Below are 21,182 nucleotides of genomic sequence, written 5' to 3'. Positions count from 1 at the left end.
ATGTCAACTATATTTCAATAAGCCCTTTAAAAATTTTATTGGGAAAAAAGCCATACATATAATTAGTGATTATTAAAGAGCACAATGTTATAGAATTAAAACTAAGATACTACACTAATGAAAGTTCATCTATGTTAAGGTAACACTTTGGTCCTACTTGTAGAATAACATCTTTTTTATGGATGTATAAGGCTCTGAGATGTAGTTTAACAAGTATGCACCTTTTAGTTCATTAATGACAATGAGAGATGTAAAGACCCACTTGTAATATTCTTGATTAAAAGATTTCCACTCATCAACAAAGTTAAAGTAGAATACCAATGCCTTTAAGTCTTACAGACTTAATTTTTTAAAGGATGAACTTTTTAAAAAATCAGCCTTTACAAGGATATATATATCATCCAAAACTATATGCTCTGAGAAATGTATTCTAAACAGAATTCTAAACAGAAATCATTTGGCTTAAGAACCTTTAGGTTTTTATAGAACACAAGTGAAAATGGACCATACGCATTAAATTGAAGAGTTTTTTGTAATTCAAATATCGTGCTAATTATCAATGCAATACATCCATCTCTTGAAATGTTATTTAGCCAACAAAATTTTTAATATTAGCTGTTTAATATTATTTTTCTTAGACATAAAGATTTCATAATACATTTATATCAACATTTGTCATTACTAAATACTATTTTAAAATTCAGGAGTTCTTGACTATGATTCCTTCATGATCTCTAAACAGAGTGAAATGAGCACTTGGTCATATAAAACAGAATGCTAGAATTATGGGACATTCATTTTGTAAAAAATGGTATAAGTACCTCTAAATTCTCAACAGTGAATAGCTATAATACCTACAGATGAAACACAAACAAAGAGGATTTTTAAAGTAATTACAAGTACCTAAATAAATATTTTGGAGATGCACATGGATACGCAGATCTTTTCCTTAAAAATCCAAGTGTCAAACCAAGAAGCTGAATAATGCTTATTTATATATATACATATCGATTTAGAGTAACAAAAACTTTTAAAACATGTTGTTAAAGGAGGTTTCCTATAAATTATCACACAATAATTTTATGGTTTCATGGAACCAATTTGATTTATCCTTCTAGGAGATTCTTATTGTATTACAGACTAAAAGAAAAGACTACCTATAGACTATTTAAGCAGCTGTTGCTGAAATAGCTTCTTTTAAAAGAACTAAAGTTCAAACAACAATTTACTAAATCTGTAGGTAGTACAGCTCATTAAATGTTCCCATTTGATAGTATATTATAGCTTGATATTCAATTCAACACACATTGATGAATTCTACTATGTCTTCACTGAAACGAGTGCTGAAGACAACAGATAAATAAAAAGAGGAACCAAGATTTACAGAATACCTACTAGAAGCTACACAATTTGCCAGGCACTGTACACAAATCATAATAAGTAAGACCCAAGTCTAAACAAGAAATTCATTTATGTTCCATATATAACTTATATACATCACCTAAAAGTAATTTTATACAATATTTTTAATAATTTTGTGCATGAAACAAAGACTGTGTACATTTAATGATCAGAAAGCGAAGGTATCACTATCTCTGCCACCCATGAGGACAATCTGTGGTTGTTAAGCATCACCATCATTCCTGTCTTTATATGCTACCAATAAGCAAACATTTTCTTTTTTAAAAAATTTTACATCTTTTAAATAAAACTTATCCTTGTGCAGAAGCCATGCTAATCTTCTCTGTATCATTCCAATTTTAATATATGTGCTTCCAAAGCAAGCACAGCAATCATTTTCTTATACTTATTCACATATAAATACTCAACAGGAAAAAATATGACATATCATTAATACAATAAAAAATAATGTGTTCATGGTAAGTAAGCAGCATGGTAGCATCATCAGAACACCTACGCTGGTTGCAAACAACATTAACAATGGCAGGCTTTCAGTCTCTACCTACAATGTTGAGCCTTGTACTGTACGCTGTATTTTTATTATTATTACTTTTTAGGTGAGAAAAGACATGAAGCAGTTGAGGGACCAAGAAATGCATCCTCTAGAAACGCATTCTGTTGCATGGCTTTTTAAAATGTTTCATCCAAAAAATTCCAGAAGATAACATCAAAAAAACCCTTCTAGACATTGGCTTAGACAAAGACTTCATGACCAAGAAACCAAAAGCATATGCAATAAAACCAAAGATAAATAGGTGGGACTTAACTACACTAAAGAGCTTCTGCCCAGCAAAAGGAACAGTCAGCAGAGTAAACAGACAACGCACAGAGTGGGAGAAAATCTTCACAATTTATACAACTGACAAAGGACTGATATCCAGAATCTACAAGGAACTCAAACAAGTTGGCAAGAAAAAAATAAATAATCCCATCAAAAAGTGGGCTAAGGACATGAATAGACAATTCTCAAAAGAAGGTACATAAATGGCCAACAAACATGAAAAAATGCTCAACATCACTAATGATCAGGGAAATGCAAATCAAAACCACAATGCAATACCACCTTACTCCTGCAAGAATGGCCATAATCAAAAAATCAAAAAATAATAGATGTTGGTGTGGATGCGGTAAAAAAGGAACACTTCTACACTGCTGGTGGGAATGTAAACTAGTACAACCACTAATGTGAAGATTCCTTAAAGAATTAACAGTAGAAATTCCATTTGATCCAGCAATCCCACTCTTGGGTATCTACCTCCCACTCTTGGATATCTACCCAGAGGAAAAGAGGTCATTATACAAAAAAGATACCTGCACATGCATGTTTATAGCAGCACAATTCGCAATTGCAAAAATACGGAACCAGCCCAAATGCCCATCAATCAACAAATACATAAAGAAATTGTGGGGTGATGGGGGTTCCAAGATGGCCGAATAGGAACACCTCCAGTCTACAGCTCCCAGCGTGAGCGACGCAGAAGACGGGTGATTTCTGCATTTCCAACTGAGCTTTGAAGAGAGTAGTGGTTCTCCCAGTATGGAGTTTGAGATTTGAGAAAGGACAGACTGCCTCCTCAAGTAGGTCCCTGACCCAGGAGCAGCCTAACTGGGAGGCACCCCCCAGCAGGGTCAGACTGACACCTCACACAGTGGGTACCCCTCTGAGACGAAGCTTCCAGAGGAATGATCATGCAGCAACATTTGCTGTTCAGCAATATTCGCTGTTTGCAGCCTCCAATGCTGATGCCCAGGCAAACAGCGTCTGGAGTGGACCTCCAGCAAACTCCAACAGACCTGCAGCTGAGGGTCCTGACAGTTAGAAGGAAAACTAACAAACAGAAAGGACATCCACACCAAAACGCCATCTGTAAGTCACCATCATCAAAGACCAAAGGTAGATAAAACCACAAAGATGGGGAAATAACAAGCAGAAAAGCTGAAAATTCTAAAAATCAGAGCACCTCTCCCCCTCCAAAGGAACGCAGCTCCTCGCTAGCAACGGTACAAAGCTGGACAGAGAATGACTTTGACAAGTTGAGAGAAGAAGGATTCAGACGATCAAACTTCTCCAAGCTAAAGGAGGAAGTTCGAACCCAACTCAAAGAAGCTAAAAACCTTGAAAAAAGATTAGACGAATGGCTAACTAGAATAACCAGTGTAGAGAAGTCCTAAAATGGCCTGATGGAGCCGAAAATCATGGCATGAGAACTACATGATGAATGCACAAGCTTCAGTAGCCGATTCAATCAACTGGAAGAAAGGATATCAGTGATGAAGCTGAAATGAAGCGAGAAGAGAAGTTTAGAGAAAAAAGAGTAAAAAGAAATGAACAAAGCCTCCAAGAAATATGGGACTATGTGAAAAGACCAAATCTACGTCTGATTGGTGTACCTGAAAGTGAAAGGGAGAATGGAACCAAGTTGGAAAACACTCTTCAGGATATTATCCAGGAGAACTTCCCCAACCTAGCGAGGCAGGTCAACATTCAAATTCAGGAAAAACAGAGAACGCCACAAAGATACTCCTCGAGAAAAACAACTCCAAGACACGTAATTGTCAGATTCATCAAAGTTGAAATGAAGGAAAAAATGTTAAAGGCACCCAGAGAGAAAGGTCGGGTTACCCACAAAGGGAAGCCCATCACACTAACAGCGGATCTCTCGGCAGAAATTCTACAAGCCAGAGGAGAGTGGGGGCCAATATTCAACATTCTTAAAGGAAAGAATTTTCAACCCAGAATTTCATATCCAGCCAAACTAAGCTTCATAAGTGAAGGAGAAATAAAATACTTTACAGACAAGCAAATGCTGAGAGATTTTGTCACCACCAGGCCTGCCCTAAAAGAGCTCCTGAAGGAAGCACTAAACATGGAAAGGAACAACTGGTACTAGCCACTGCAAAATCATGCCAAATTGTAAAGACCATCGAGGCTAGGAAGAAACTGCATCCACTAACGAGCAAAATAACCAGTTAACATCATAATGACGGGATCAAATTCACACATAACAATATTAACTTTAAATGTAAATGGACTAAATGCTCCAATTAAAAGACACAGACTGGCAAATTGGATAAAGAGTCAAGACCCATCAGTGTGCTGTATTCAGGAAACCCATCCCACGTGCAGAGACACACACAGGCTCAAAATAAAAGGATGGAGGAAGATCTACCAAGCAAATGGAAAACAAAAAAAGGCAGGGGTTGCAATCCTAGTCTCTCAAAAAACAGACTTTAAACCAACAAAGATCAAAAGAGACAAAGAAGGCCATTACATAATGGTAAAGGGATCAATTCAACAGGAAGAGCTAACTCTCCTAAATATATATGCACCCAATACAGGAGCACCCAGATTCATAAAGCAAGTCCTGAGTGACCTACAAAGAGACTTAGACTCCCACACAATAATAATGGGAGACTTTAACACCCCACTGTCAACATTAGACAGATCAACAAGACAGAAAGTTAACAAGGATACCCAGGAATTGAACTCAGCTCTGCACCAAGCAGACCTAATAGACATCTACAGAACTTTCCACCCCAAATCAACAGAATATACATTTTTTTCAGCACCACACCACACCTATTCCAAAATTGACCACATAGTTGGAAGTAAAGCTCTCCTCAGCAAATGTAAAAGAACAGAAATTATAACAAACTGTCTCTCAGACCACAGTGCAATCAAACTAGAACTCAGGATTAAGAAACTCACTCAAAACCGCTCAACTACATGGAAACTGAACAACCTGCTCCTGAATGACTACTGGGTACATAACGAAATGAAGGCAGAAATAAAGATGTTCTTTGAAACCAACAAGAACAAAGACACAGCATACCAGAATCTCTGGGACACATTCAAAGCAGTGTGCAGAGGGAAATTTATAGCACTAAATGCCCACAGGAGAAAGCAGGAAAGATCTAAAATTGACACCCTAACATCACAATTAAAAGAACTAGAAAAGCAAGAGCAAACACATTCAAAAGCTAGCAGAAGGCAAGAAATAACTAAAATCAGAGCAGAACTGAAGGAAATAGAGACACAAAAAACCCTTCAAAAAATTAATGAATCCAGGAGCTGGTTTTTTGAAAGGATCAACAAAATTGATAGAGCGCTAGCAAGACTAATAAAGAAGAAAAGAGAGAAGAATCAAATAGACGCAATAAAAAATGATAAAGAGAACAAAACTTAGACATTTCTGGGAATCCTTTGTGTGTGAAAAAGACCCAAAACCCATGTACAAACTAATGGCAGTGACCAGAATCATCCTGTTAACTTTTAAAACTATCTATTTCATTATGAAGTATGAGTGACTGAGGCTCAGCCAACAATAGCTTCCACTTTGCCTCTAGATTGTCTTTGGAGTCTAAAGGCCTTACTACCAGATGGGGTGTTAGTGTAAGTGGATGGAATTATTCAACTCATTTGTTTAAAGAGTTCATTTAAGTTCACTGTGGTCTTTTGCTTTTCTTAAACTAAAAAAAAAAATAAATAAATAAAAAAATTCTAGCTGCTAGACAATGTGAGACATTGTGGTTTTTGAACTACAGAAAAATTGTATGAATGAATTGGCGCAGTCTGTAGCATCTTTCTCTGACTTCTCCTTTGTGATAATAGCACACATTTGTCAACTATAAAATTAGATAGGGCTTGCTGTCAAAAATTTTTTAATCTATGACTTGTCCCTTGATACAAGAAAGAAAAAAAACTTAAAAATCATGTAATCAATTCCTTAATGTTGAAAATATTTCTTCTTTTTGATATCATAAATGATTATAGCTGAAGCTAACGGTTGTTGAACTGATCTTAGAGTCAAAACTGTCTTCCACAAGCCACCATACAATACTTGATTTATCTACAACCTAATCCCTAGAAGACAAACTTCAGCACTATGGCCCAGGAACAAGGGACACAGGCCTAGTTCTGCCAGAAACCAACGAGGGAAAGGCTGAGCCCTGCACAAACATCCGCTGGTGGGGCCCATAGCCCAGGTGTATGTGCAGGGCATGCAGAGGGGACAACTGCCTGTTTTCTCCACTCACCATGGCCTACCCACTGGCAGTCACATAGGCCTGCCTCAGCATCTGAGACCATGGTGTGGCCACAGCCTTCGCCACCTTGGGAAGCCACCCTGGGAAGCTGAACTCCCCATCCACCTCAGAATCCATCTTTGCTGTGAAAGAGAAGCCCAGCTTTTCCTGAAGTTTATTTAATCTGGCACTAATACATCCATGTTAGCCATCGTATCATTACTGTTTGGATGCTATATCTTTTTGCATACAATTGCTTTTGATCTATCTGTGTCTTTATTTTTAAAGTATATCTCTTGGTATTTTTTAAATTTGTTCTGATAATCTCTACCTTTTAATTGGAATGTTCATTAACATTTAATATTTAGGTCCATGATTTTATTATTTGTTTTCCTTCTGTCCCTTCTTTTACTTTTTGCCTACATTTTTTGGATTATTTGAATACATTTTAAAATTCCTTTTTAATTTAATCTATCAGCCTTTATTTTAGTTGTTGTTCTATGATTACAATATACATCCTTAGCTTTTCATGCTCTACTTAGAATATCATATCACTTCAAAAAAATGTAGAAACACTGCATTCGTATAGAACCAACTAAACATCCCCCTTTCTGCTACTGGTGTCACATGTATCACATCTACATACACTATAAACTCTATAAGACAACACTATAGTTTTATGTAAAACAATCAATTACATTTTAAAGAAACTAAGAGAAAAAACTAGTGCTTATATTTACCCCACTATTCACCATTTTCATTTCTGATGCATTTCACTTCTTCATCACTGAAGTACCCACCCATTATTTTCCTTCTACCTGAAGAACATGTTTTGGAATCTCTTGTAGTACAAGTTTGTTGGTGATAAATTCTCTTAGGTATTTTTCTTTTCTTTTCTTTTCTTTTTTTTTTTGAGATGGAGTTTTGCTCTTGTTGTCTAAGCTGGAGTGCAATGGCACTATCTTGGCTCACTGCAACCTCTGCCTCTCAAGTTCAAGCGATTCTCCTGCCCCAGCCCCCCAAATAGCTGGGATTACAGGTATGCGCCACCATGCCCAGCTAATTTTGTATTTTTGGTAGAGACAGGGTTTCACCATGTTGGCCAGGCTGGTCTCAAACTTCTGACCTCAGGTGATCCACCCGCCTTGGCCTCCCAAAGTGCTGAGATTACAGGCATAAGCCACCATGCCCAGGAGAGGCATTTTTCTTTTTAATCTTAGAATGTCTTTATTTTGCCTTCATTCTTTTATTTATTTATTTGAGAGACAGAGTCTCATTCTGTTGCCCAGGCTAGAGTGCAGTGGCACAATTATAGCTCACTGCAGCCTCAAATTTGTGGGCTCAAGTGATTCCCCAACCTCAGCCTCCTGAGAAGCTCCCACTGCAGGCATGTGCCACCACACCAGCTAATTTTTTCTAAATTTCTTGTAGAGATGGGGTCTCACTATGTTGCTCAGGTAGGTCTTAAACTCCTAGCCCCAAGCAATCCTCCTGCCTCAGCCTCCCAAAGCACTGGGATTACAGGTGTGAGCTACTGTCTTCATTCTCGCAGGAAGTTCTAGAATAAGATTCTAAGTTGATGGTTCTTCCTCTCAACATTTTAAAGATGTTCCACTGTCTCTGAGCTCCAAAGTTTCTAACAGAAGTCATCAGTTCCCAATCATCACTCCTCCATGCAGAGACCAGCTCGCTTGTGGAGACCCTAACCCAGCGGCGCTAGAGAAATTAAAGACACACGTACAGAAATATAGCGTGTGGAGTGGGAAATCAGTGGTCTCACAGCCTTCAGAGCTGAGAGCCTCGAACAGAGATTTACCCACATATTTATTGACAGCAAGCCAGTGATAAGCATTTTTTCTATGGATTATAGATTAACTACAAGTATTCCTTATGGGAAACAAAGGGATGGGCTGAAATAAAGGGATGGGCTCTGGCTAGTTATCTGCAGCAAGAACATGTCCTTAAGGCATCGATCACTCATGCTATCATTTGTGGTTTAAGAACGCCTTAAGCGGTTTTCCGCCCTGGGTGGGCCAGGTGTTCCTTGCCCTCATTCCAGTACACCCACAACCTTCAGCGTGGGCATCATGGCCATCACAAATGTGTCACAGTGCTGCAGAGATTTTGTTTATGGCCAGTTTTGGGCCAGTTTATGGCCAGATTTTGGGGGCCTGTTCCCAAAACCTCTATATTTAATGTGTCACGTTTTCTCTGGTTGCTTTCTAGATTTGCTCTTTACCTTAGGTTTTTAGCAGTTTTACTAAAGTGTGCTTAATTTATTCTGCTTTAAGTTCACTAAGTTTCTGGAATCTATAAATTTATGTGTTTCAGATTTGGAAATTTTTCAGTCACTGTTTTTTCAAAAGTTTTTCTGCCTCATTCTCTCCTCTTTGTCTTCTGGGATTCTAATTGGAAATATGTTAGAAGCTTGCACAGTTCCTCACATTCCTAATGCTCTGTTTCTTTTCTTCTAATTATTCTCTTTCTATTCTTTACATGGGATAATTTTAAGTTATTTGAACCTTTCCTCTGTTATCTCCATTCTGCTATTAAGCCCATCAAGTGAATTTTTATATAAGATATTATATTTTATAGTTCTAGAATTTAAATTTTTTATGATTTCAGTTCTCTGCTGAGATTTCTTGTCTTTTCACTCATTCTGAACATATTTTCTTTACCTCACCCTCTCCCAGCAATTGCTTCCCCAGCTGCTTTATAATAGTTGTCTGCTAATCCAGTTCATATTGGGGGATAGTCTCTGTTAACTGCTTTTTGTCTTCAGAATGGGACACATTTTCCTCATTTTCAATTTTGGATTGTATCCTGGACCTCGTGAATGTTATACTGTGAATTTCATTTTCTTCACTGAAGAATGTTGATATTTTTGCTTTAGTAGGCAATTATCTTGCTTGGATTCAAACTACAAACTCTTCTCTTGGGCAGCAACTCAAATCTCAGTTCTGGACCTACCCCTAGTTGGGTAGCTGTTAGTCTGCCCTGCATATGCATGGTTCAGAAGTCAGTCTGAGATTTGGGCAGGGGTTACACACAGAACCTCAGGCTATACCAATCTAGTTCTCTCTGGGATCCATTTCTCATTTTCCAGCAGTAGTTCTTACCGCAAACTCTGTCATCTGGTTTTTCAGGCCAGAAAGACTGGATTTTCTATGAGAATAGCAGGTATCAATGCAGCACTGACTTTACCCTGCCCTGAGGCTGGTATCATGAAAAACAGGAAACTCTCCATGCTGGACATTCTTCCAAGTGTTGTCTTTCCTCAAGAATCTGCCAGCCTTTTTTTTTTTTTTTTTTTACTCTCCAGGACCTTCACATAGTTGTGTAGAGTATTTTGCTCAGAATTTATCATTATTACCTGCAGAAAGATCATTTGGCTATGGCCTTACATATACTGAAGAGGTTTTCGTTTTTAATAGGGAACTCAACCCATTTATATTCCCTGTCAGTGAAATATCTGATCTTGTTTCACATTTTTTGTTCATACTTTTTTGCTGTTTTCTAGCTTTTGCTCTAAGAAATATTTTTTCTTTGATCTTTCATCTTTTCTACTTTTGTAGAAAAGATTTTCAAGTAATTTGAAAAGCAGAAGGCATATTTCAAATTCTAAAATGCTCGACTGTATCTGTCTCCAATTACCAGTGTTACAACTGATGACACTGCCCCTCAAGATCTGTAAACTCTCCCTGCAAAGGGAACAAAATTATCATTTATAACCAAAGGACTTTTTCCTTTCTTCATCATTCTATTATTCTATTTCTGTATTCTGGCAGAGCTTCTTATGTTAGTTTTCCTACATGACCGATTTCACTTTCTTCAGTTTTAAGTCTACAGTTCAGTGCTTCTACTGAAAATTTTAATTTATTTAATTTTAATTAATTCAATCTCTTTCTATTTCATTTTGCTTTCTTTTATCACAGCTGATCTCAGTAAATCAGTTTTCAGCTCAATCTGTTGTCTTTTCTCAGCTTGGATCATCTGTATTGCAGAGTCTATGTTTTCCTGATTTTTGAATAATATAAAACAAAAAATTCCTAAAACATACTTCTCTTTGCTCTAGTAGATCATCTGTAAAAGGATGTTATTCTTTCACCTTTTTAATTTAATTTAATTTATTTATTTATGTACTCAGACAGACTCGCTCTGTTGCCCAGGCTGGAGTGTAGTGGCCTGATCTCAGTTCACTGCAACCTCCGCCTCCTGGGTTCAAACAATTCTCATGCTTCAGCTTCCTGAGTAGCTAGAATTACAGGTGCGCACCACCACAAATTTTTTTGTATTTTTAGTGGAGACAGAGTTTTACCATGTGGGCCAAGCTGGTCTCCAACTCCTGGCCTCAAGTGATCCACCCACCTGGCCTTCCAAAGTGATGGGATTATAAGGCATAAGCCACGGCACTCAGCTTCTTTCACCTTTTAAGAATTAGATTTATTGCTGCAGTATCTTTTGTTGTTCTCATATTAGGGTATTTTCTTAAGCACGTGTATATAATCTTGAACAAGGTCTAATTCTGATGCAACTCTACAATCAAGATATGTGGCTTTTTCCTAGTTTCCCTCACTTCCCACCTAGTTGTTGTCATAATCTGTCTGTACTTTAGTTCAATATTAAAAAGTAATCATTGTCATCCTGGATGTGTTCATAACTGTGACAGAAATGCCTCCATAGTTTCCCTGCTAAGCATAATTCAGACTTTTTAACTAAGATACATACATTTGGTATTCATATTAAGGAACTATTCATTTACTTATATTTTATGAAGTGATTCTATGAAGAAATGTTGAATTTTGCCAAATGCTTTGTCGGCCTTTAAGGTGATGAACATTGTATTTTTTCCCCCTAGAAGCATTAAAATAATAAATTAAAATTAGTATGTGTGTGTACGTGCATACCCATAACTGTTAGCCAACTTTCTAGTGATATTCAGTCTTTTATTTAGTATGAATATGCTGGTCTGAGTAGGAATCACATAATGCCATTGCCTGATAATCTAAGAAAAATAGTATTATTTTGACATTCTAATGCTATCTAATGCATTTTCATTATAATAAACAGTGAATAGCCAGGCGCGGTGGCTCACACCTGTAATCCCAGCACTTTGGGAAGCCAAGGCGGGTGGATCACCTGAGGTCGGGAGTTCGAGACCAGCTTGACCAACATGGAGAAACCCCGTCTCTACTAAAAATACAAAATTAGCCAGGTGTGGTGGCGCGTGCCTGTAATCCCAGCTACTCGGGAGGCTGAGGCAGGAAAATCGCTTAAACCTGGCAGGCAGAGGTTGCAGTGAGCCGAGACTGTGCCATTGCACTCCAGCCTGGACAACAAGAGCAAAGCTCCATCTCAAAAAAAAAAAAAAAAAAAACAGTGAATAAAAACCAGAAACTCCAAAGTTCACTGCTCTTACAGTTCTAGGGTCAGTCAGCATGGGACATTTTTAGCACCTTCTGTTAATCTGCCAAAGAAGCATAGTCATTTCAATTCATGTAGTCTATTTCCCCATAAAAATGTATTTCTATTTTTGATTGAATAAATTTCTCAAGTTGAACTATTAATTTAATTTCAAATGTTTAACTAATTTAACCTACTAGTCTATTATTAATTTGTTGTCAGAGTCTTCATCCACTTAAATCAGTCGTATTATATTTCCCTATTGGAATGTCATGAAATTAACAAAATTTTATTGCAGTACCTAAAACGTGAGAATCACGTATGTGAAATTTCAAATCATGGATTTTTGTTTCTAGCTATTCTGATGACTTGACACTATAATTTTTTTTTTTCCAGAGACAAGGTCTTCCTATGTTGTCCAGGCTAGAGTCAGTGGCTATTCATAGGCATGACTGTAGCTCACTGTAGCCTTGAACTCCTGGACTCAAGCGATTCTCCTGCCTCAGCCTCCCAAGTAGCTAGGATGACAGACATGTGCAAATGCACCCAGGTCCTGACACTAGAATCTTTGAAAAGTAAAAACCATAATCCAGGTCTCTTCTGATTAAAAAAAAAAAAGAAAAGTAAAAATGTATCTACTTGTATGTAGACATTAAGATATTTACCTAAATGACAAAATTGCTGAATGAATAATTTACTTGAAGCTTTATAAAAATAAGAAATTAAATACGAACTCTCTCTGTGTATATTTTATCTGAAACTTTTCAAATAATTTCCTATTCCTATGGATCTGATCCAAGATCCTCTTTATTTCAGGTTCAAGAGCCTTAACCAGATTGTCCCATGAAATATAAAATGAGTGTTTTTGGTTGGCTTTTTTCCAAGATGGTGGATTAGCGGCTTTCAGCCTGCCTCAGACACTTGGAAATAGCAAGATAGTATATAAAGATAAACTCTGTGAGTTTTAATTCAAGGAGGAAAATGGAAATCTACCAGAATCATAAAGGACATCCCAGAACCCACGGAGGAGAATGCCAGAAAACAGCCCCCATGATAGCATCCAGCTGATAGAGATGAGTGAAGCCCCAGTATGTGAGAAAGGAAGAAGTCTCCTCTGTGACTCACCTTTCCACTGGGGATCCAAGCAACCCAGGCCAAGGGAAAGCATTTTGCTTCTCCCAAGCCCGAGAGTTAACTTGAGGAGAGGATTGGAGACACTGTGAAGGAAAGACACTGGGAAATGCTGCAGGCATTTTCCCAGATCTGAGACTGAGAGCAGGACACCATTTTTAATCTCGGCCATTCTTTGGTGACCTGCAGCATGGCTGTATGGGCATTTTAGTCTCAGGCCAGAGATTGGAACACCTGCTCCAGAGTTGGATAGGGGGCCTCCACATCCAGAACTGTGGAAAGTGCTTCAGCAGTAGGTGCTGGAATTGTGCTCTCCCCTGTCACAAGCCTGGCACGGAAGAGAGCTGCTACAGCTGCAGTTTCTCCTGGGTGGCGAGACTTGCAGCCAGGGCCAGCTTGGAAACCTGCAACTGATCTGTGTGTGCCATTATTGGGTGCCCCACTCTGCTTCCCTGAGATCATGGTGCAGCAGGGCCCTCTCTCTTCCAACCCCAGGCAGAAATCCAGGCATTTGGAATACGTACTTGCCTGAACCAGTAGCCCAAGCCACCCCACCCTTCCTGGACACAGATTGCGGTGCTGCGAGGCTCTCTCTGCTTCACACCTAGGCAGATCTCCAGGCACTTAGAACACCTGTTTGCCGGGTTCAGCAGCCTAAGCTGCCCCACCCTTCCTGAACAGAGATCCTGGTGCAGGGGGACCCTCTCTGTTACATGCCCAGGAAGATCTCCAGGCATTCAGACCACCTGCGTGCACGTTCCAGCAGCCTAAGTTGCCCCACCCCTCCTGTGTAAAGATCTTGGTGCACGGGGGCCCTCTCTGCTCCATGCCCAGGCAAATCTCCAGGCATCTGGAGCATCACTCACCTGGATCGGCAGCTTGACCTGCCCCACTCTTCCTGTGCAGAGAGTCTGGTATGGAGAGGCCCTCTCTGCCTCACAACCAGGCAGATCTCCAGGCATTCAGAGCACCCTCTCATCTGGTTCAGCAGCCTAAGCTGCCCCACGCTTCCTGGGTATAGATCATAGTGCAGCAAGACCCTCTCTGCTCCATGTCCAGGCAGTGCGCCAGGCATCTGGAGCACCCACTCTCCTGGATGAGGAGCTTAGGGCATCTCCTCATCCTCATGCAGAGAATTTGGAGCTGAGCAGGTTTCCCAGCTCCACACCTAGGAAAACCTTTGGGTACCTCATGGTCACCCACTGGATTCTCTCTTGGCACTAGTGCTTGTGCCTACCATCAGGGGACCTGCAGGCAGATTTGCCAGGTCTGCCTCTGCCCTTCACGGCTCCCATTGCCACCCTCCCAACCCCTGTCACCACCAGAGCTGAACAAGGAGTGCAGACCACTGTGCATTCTACAAATCAGCTAATCGCCTGGAGCAACAGAGAGCTTCTGCCAGTAAATAAGGATCAAGTATATACCCAAACACACTGGCTGTAGCTGGCTCTCACCTGTGCATGCCATCTACAGGCTTGTAAGACAAACTCCACAGCCCAATATAAAACATGCTGAAAGAAGTACATAGGGCAGCCGGGCGCGGTGGCTCATGCCTGTAATCCCAGCACCTTGGGAGGCTAAGGTGGACGGATCACTTGGGTCAGGAGATCAAGACCAGTATGGCAAACAAGGTGAAACCCTGTCTCTACTAAAAATACAAAACTTAGCCAGGCATGGTAGTGGGTGCCTGCAATCCCAGCTACTCAGGAGGCTGAGGCAGGAGAATTGCTCAGACCTGGGAGGAGGAGGTTGTAGTAAGCCAAGATCAGGCCACTGCACTCTGCACTCCAGTCTGGGTGACTAAGTGAGACTCTATCTCCAAAAAAAAAAAAAAAAAAAAGAAGAAGGAGAAGGAGAAGAGCAGCAGCAGCAGCATAGGGCTGTTCAAGCAAAGCCAAAAGATCTTACCAAGCATTCTCTACAGTCACATCCCCTAGGCAAGCAGGGAAAAGGGAAAGGAAAGAAGAATTAATAATAATAATAATAATAACAACAACATTACAGGGAAAAAAAAGAAAAAGAAAAAAATCCTACGTGCATGAAAATAATTACAAAAATCAGAAGTGCCAGGGTCTCCAGATGAGAAGGAACCAGCACAAGAATTCTGGCACCATGAAAAAGCTGAAGGTAGTGACACCACCAAAAAATTTCACTAGATCTCCAGCAATGGTACCTAACCAAAATAGAAACTCAGAAATAACAGATAAGGAACTCAAAGCATAGGCCGGGTGTGGTGGCTTATGCCTGTAATCCCAGCACTTTGGGAGGCCAAGGTGGCCAGATCACCTGAGGTCGGGAGTTCGAGACCAGCCTGGCCAATATGGTGAAACCCCATCTCTACTAAAAATACAAAAATTAGCTGGGCGTGGTGGCATGTGCCTGTAATCCCAGCTACTCAGGAAGCTGAGGCAGAGAATCACTTGAACCTGGGAGGTGGAGGTTGCAGTAAGCTCAGATTACATGACTGCACTCCAGCCTGGGCAGCAGAGTGAGACTCTGTATCAAAAAAACAAACAAACAAACAAACAAAAAAACAACTTCAAAGCATGGCTTGCAAGGAAGCTCATGGAGATCCAAGACAAAGTTAAAAATTGAGACAAAGAAACTTCTAAAGCAATCCAGGAAATGAAGAGATAAACATCTCAAAAAGAAATCAATCAGAGCCTCTAGAATTAAAAAGCTCACTTAAGGAATTTCAAAATAAAATTGAAAGCTTTATAAATGGACTGGACCAAGCAGAAGAAAGAATTTCAGGACTTCAAGACTGGTCTTTTGAACGAACCCAATCTGACCAAAAAAAAAAAAAAGAAGAATTTTTAAAAATAAGTAAAATAAGTAAATTATTTGAGAAATGTGGGATTATGTAATGCAACCAAACCTTCAAATTATTGGCATTCCTGAGAGAGAAGGAGAAAAAGCAAACAACTTGGAAAATATATTTGAGGCAATAATTCAAGAAAACTTCCCTAGTCCTTAGAACATGGATAAATAAATTTGTGAAAAATGTCAAAAAAAAAAAAAAGGAAACTTTCCTTATCTTGCCAGGGAGGTAGACATCCAGACACAAGAAATCCAGAGAACACCTGCAAGATACTATATACAAAATGAACATCACCAAGACATATATAGTCACCATACTGTCCAAGGTCAGTGTTAAAGAAAAAATCTTAAAGGCAGCTAGAGAAAAGGGGCAGATTATGTACAAAAGGAACCCCATCAGGCTAACAGTGGACCTGTCAGCAGAAACCTTGCAAACCAGGAGAGATTGGGAGCCAATTATCAGCATTCTTAAAGAAAAGAAACTCCAACCAAGAATTTCATATTCTGCCAAATTAAGTTTCATAGCAAAGAAGAAATAAAATCTTTTCCAGACAAGCAAGTGCCAAAGGAATGTGTTACCACTAGAGCAGCCTTACAATAGATCCCTAAGGGAGTCCTAAATATGGAAATAAAAGAATGATACCTGCTACCACAAAAACACACTTAAGTACATAGCCCACAGACCCTATAAAGAAAAAAACAATAGAAACTACAAAGCAAACAGCTAACAACTTCACAATAGGATCAAAACTTCACATATCAATATTAACCTTGAATGTAAATGGTCTAAATGCCCCACTTACAAGGCAAAGAGTGGCAAGTTGGATAAAGAAACAAGACCCATCCATCTGTTGTCTTCAAGAGACGCATCTCACATGTAATGACACCCATACGCTCCAAGTAAAGGGGTGGAGAAAGATCTACCATGCAAAAAGAAAACCAAAAAAAAAGGCAGAAAAAAAAGACCAAAAAAATCTTATTATCAGATTAAATAGACTTTAAACCAACAACGGCAAAAACATACAAAGAAGGGCATTACATAATGATAAAGGGTTATATTCAATAAAAGTTAACTATCCTAAATATATATGTATCCAACATCGGAGCATCCAGATTCATAAAACAAGTACCTATAAACTTACAAAAAGACTTAGAGAGCCACACAATAATAGTAGGGGACTTCAACGCCCCACTGACAGGAAATTAACAAAGACATTCTGGACTTAACAGTTGACCAATTGGACTAATAGATATGTACAGAATACTCTATATATCGACCACAAATATACATTCTTCTCATCTGCACACAGAACATACCCCAAGATTAACCACATGCTCAATCATAAAGCAAGTCTTGATAAATTTTTTAAAAATCAAAATCATATCAACCATACTCTTGGACCACAGTAGAATAAAAATAGAAATCAATACCAAGAAGATCTCTCAAAACCACACAATTACATGGAAATTAAACAACTTGCTCCTGAATGACTTTGGGGTAAACAATAAAATCAAGGCTGAAATCAAAAGATTCTTTGAAATAAATAAAAACAAAGACACAATATCCCAAAATCTCTGCGATATAGCAAAAGCCATATCCCAGAGATACTAATCAACAATCCAACATCACACCTAGAAGAACTAGAAAAAAACAAAAACAAACTAACCCCAAAGCTAGCAGAAGAAAACTAAAATCAGAGCACAACTGAACAAAATTGAGACTCAAAAATCCACACAAAGAATCAGCGAAACCAAAAGTTGGTTCTTTGAAAGGATAAACAAGATCTATAGACTGCTAGCTAGATTAAAAAAGAAAAAGAGAGAGAAAATCCAAATAAGCACAATCAGAAATGACAAAGGTGACATTCCAACCAATCCCACAGAAATACAAAAGATCCTCAGAGACTAATATGAACACCTCTATGCACACAAACTAGAAAATCTAGAGGAAATGGATTAATTCCTGGAAACATACAATCTCCCAAGATTGAATCAGAAAGAAATCGAAACACCAAACAGACCAATATCAAGTTCCAAAATTGAATCAATAATTAAAAACCTACTAATCCAAAAAAGCCCTAGACCAGAAATGGATTCACACAAATTCTACCAGACATACAAAGAAGAGCCGGTACCAATTCTACTGAAACTATTTCAAAAAACTGAGGAGAGACTCCTCCCTAACTCATTCTACAAAGCCAGTATCACCCTAGTACCAAAACCTGGCAAAGAGACAATAAAAAGGCTGATATCCCTGATGGGCACAGATACCAAAATCCTCAAAAAATACTAGAAAACTGAATTCAACAACACACCAAAAAAAGTTAATTCATGATAATCAAGTAGGCCTCAGTCCTGGGATGCAAGGTTGGTTCAACATACACAAATCAATAAATGTGATTCACCACATAGACAGAATTAAAAACAAAAACCATAGAATCATCTCAATAGATGCAGAAAAAGTTTTAAGTAAAATCCAACATCCTTTCATGATAAAAACCCTCAAGAAACTAGACACCGCAGGAACACACCTAAAAAATAATAAGAGCCATCTATGACATAAACACAGCCAACATCATACTAAATGGGCAAAAACTGGAAGCATTCCCTTTGAGAACTGGAATAAGAAAGGATGTCCACTCTCACCACTCCTATTCATGTACTGTAAGTGCTAGCCAGAGCAATCAGGCAAGAGGAAGAAATAAAAGGAATCCAAATTGGAAAAGGAGAAATCAAACTATTTTTCTTCACAGACAGTATGATTCTATACCTTGAAAACTCTAAAGACTCCATCAAAAGTCTCCTGGAACTAATAAATAACTTCAGGAAAGTTTCAGGATACCAAAATCAATATATAAAAATCAGTAGCATTTCTATACACCAATAACATTCAAACTGAGAGCCAAATCAAGAATGCAATCCCATTTGTAATAGCCATACACACAAAAAATGCCTACGAATACATCTAACCAAGGAGGAGAAAGATCTCTACAAGGAGAACTACAAAACACTGCTAAAAGACATAGACGACACAAAGAAATGGAGAAATATTCCAGGCTCATGGATTGGAAGAATCTATGTCATTAAAATGGCCATACTGCCCAAAGCAATCTATGAATTCAATGCTATTCCTATCAAACTACCAATGTCATTTTTCACAGATTTGGAAAAAACTATTCTAAAATTCATATGGAACCAAAAAGGAGCCAAAATAACCAAAGCAACCCTAAACAAAAGGAACAAAGCCAAAGGCATCACATTAACCAACTTCAAACTATACCATAAGGCTATGGTAACCAAAATAGCATGGTACTGGTACCAAAACAGACATATAGACCAATGGAATGAAATAAGGAACACAGAAATAAAGCTATACACCTAAAGCCATTTGATATTCAACAAAGTTGACAAAAATAAGCAATGGGGAAAGGACTCCCTATTCAATAAATGATGCTGGGATAGCTGGCTAGCCATATGCCGAAGAATGAAACTGGACCTTTCACCATATGCAAAAATTAACTCAAGATGAATCAAAGATTTAAACGTAAGACTTCAAACTATAAGAATCCTAGATGAAAATCTAGGGAACACCATTCTGAATATCAGTCTTGGGAAACAATTTATTACTAAGTCCTCAAAAACAATTGCAACAAAAACAAAAATTTGTAAGTAAGGCCTAATTAAACTAAAGAACTTCTGCACAGTAAAAGCAACTATCCACAGAGTAAAGAGACAACCTACAGAAAGGGATAAAATATTTGCAAGCTATGCATCTGACAAAGGTCTAATATCCAGAATCTATAAGCAAATTAAACAACTGAACAAGCAAAAAACAAATAACTCCATTAAAACATGGGCAAAAGAAATGAACAGACACTTCTCAAAAGAAGACACACAGTGGCCAACAAACATATAAAAAAAAATCCACATCACCAATCACGAGAGAAACACAAATGAAAACCACAATGAGATACCATCTCACACCAGTCAGAATGGCTTGTATTAAAAAGTAAAAAATAACAGATGCTGGTGAGGCTGTGGAGAAAAGGGAATGCTTATACACCATTGGTGGGAATGTAAATTAGTTCAGCCACTGTGGAAAGCAGTTTGGAGACATCTCAAAAAACTTAAAACAGAACTACCGGCCAGGCGCAGTGGCTCACGCCTGTAATCCCACCACTTTGGGAGGCCGAGGCAAGTGGATCACTTGATGTCAGGAGTTCGAGACCAGTCTGGCCAATATGGTGAAACCCCATCTTCTACTAAAACTACAAAAATTAGCCGGGCATGGTGGCGCATGCCTGTAGTCCCAGCTACTCGAGAGGCTGACGCAGGAGAATCACTTGAACCTGGGAGGCAGAGCCGAGATCATGTCACTGCATTCCAGCCTGAGTAACAAAGCTAGACTCCATCTCAAAAAAAAAAAAAAAAAATCTCAGAACTACCATTTGACCCAGCAATCCCATTACTGGGTGTCTATCCAACAGAAAACAAATCATTCTACCAAAAGACATGCATTTGCACATTCATCACAGCACTATTCACAATAGCAAAGTCATAGCATCAACCCAGGTACCCATTAATGACGACTGGATGAGGAAAATGTGGTACATATACACCAAGGAGTACTACACAGCCATAAAAAGAATGAAATCATGTCTTTTGCAGCAACATGGATGCAGCTCGAGGCCATTAGCCTAAATGAATTAATGCAGGAACAAAAAAACCATATACCACATGTTCTCACTTATGAGTGGGAGCTAGACATCGGGTACTCATGGACATAAAGATGGGAATGATAGACACGGGGGACTACTAGAGGGGAAGGGTAGAAGCGGGTAAGGGTGGAAAAACTAACTGTTAGATACTATGCTCAGTACCTAGGTGATGGGATCATTTGTACCCCAAACTTCAGCATCATGCAATATATATAGGTAACAAACCTGCACGTGTACCCCCTGAATCTAAGACAGAAGTTGAAAAATAAAAAAGTAAAAAACAAAAATAAATAAAAATAAAAATCTAGGCTGAGTTCTGGGCACAAGGCAACCACTGAGAAGAGCAGAGCATGGCATATGCTGAGTCAGACCATGATGTTCTGGATGGAGGGCCTCATGCCAAAGCTGGACCTGGAGGAGGTGAAAGAGAAGATGCATGAGGATGTGTTCTCCTCCATATAGAACTTCCTCCTGTACATGGCCCTGCTGAGAATCACTCTTTTTATCTTAAAGAAACTGGACAGCATATGAAGATTGGGCATCACATGTGAATGCATGACATGAAGAACCTGGTTACAGTTTCTACTCCTCTCTGCAAGTAAATAGGCCCAGAAAGGTTTAAGA

The 21,182-nt window shown here is 38.8% G+C and overlaps 1 protein-coding gene, 1 long non-coding RNA gene and 2 pseudogenes across 14 annotated transcripts in view; 1 reads left to right on the top strand and 3 right to left on the bottom strand.

The window, feature by feature from the left end:
* Positions 1 to 21,182, bottom strand: part of AFG1L (AFG1 like ATPase) — a 230,948-nt gene that overhangs the window by 132,141 nt on the left and 77,625 nt on the right. The window contains exon 7 of one of the 13 annotated variants that reach the window (XM_011535661.3): positions 24 to 20,969. The exons of the other annotated variants lie outside the window; for them this stretch is intronic. Within the exon in view, the coding sequence (XP_011533963.1) occupies positions 20,953 to 20,969 (17 nt within the window). The 3' untranslated portion in view covers positions 24 to 20,952. Of the gene's footprint in view, positions 1 to 23; positions 20,970 to 21,182 lie in introns of those variants that run through there. 13 annotated transcript variants of the gene reach the window in all.
* On the bottom strand, positions 24 to 13,966 carry LOC124901371 (uncharacterized). The gene is made up of 2 exons (XR_007059699.1): positions 13,887 to 13,966; positions 24 to 11,340 (listed from the first exon to the last, which is right to left on the bottom strand). It is a non-coding gene; the product is annotated as an uncharacterized LOC124901371 (long non-coding RNA).
* On the bottom strand, positions 1,684 to 1,788 carry RNU6-770P (RNA, U6 small nuclear 770, pseudogene; annotated as a pseudogene).
* On the top strand, positions 20,934 to 21,086 carry LOC100506224 (translocase of outer mitochondrial membrane 5 homolog (yeast) pseudogene; annotated as a pseudogene).

The sequence above is a fragment of the Homo sapiens genome, chromosome 6, assembly GCF_000001405.40.
Source record: "Homo sapiens chromosome 6, GRCh38.p14 Primary Assembly".
Lineage (NCBI taxonomy): Eukaryota > Metazoa > Chordata > Mammalia > Primates > Hominidae > Homo > Homo sapiens.
Note: the sequence above shows the minus strand (reverse complement) of the source record. Positions and strands in the feature narration are given on the sequence as shown.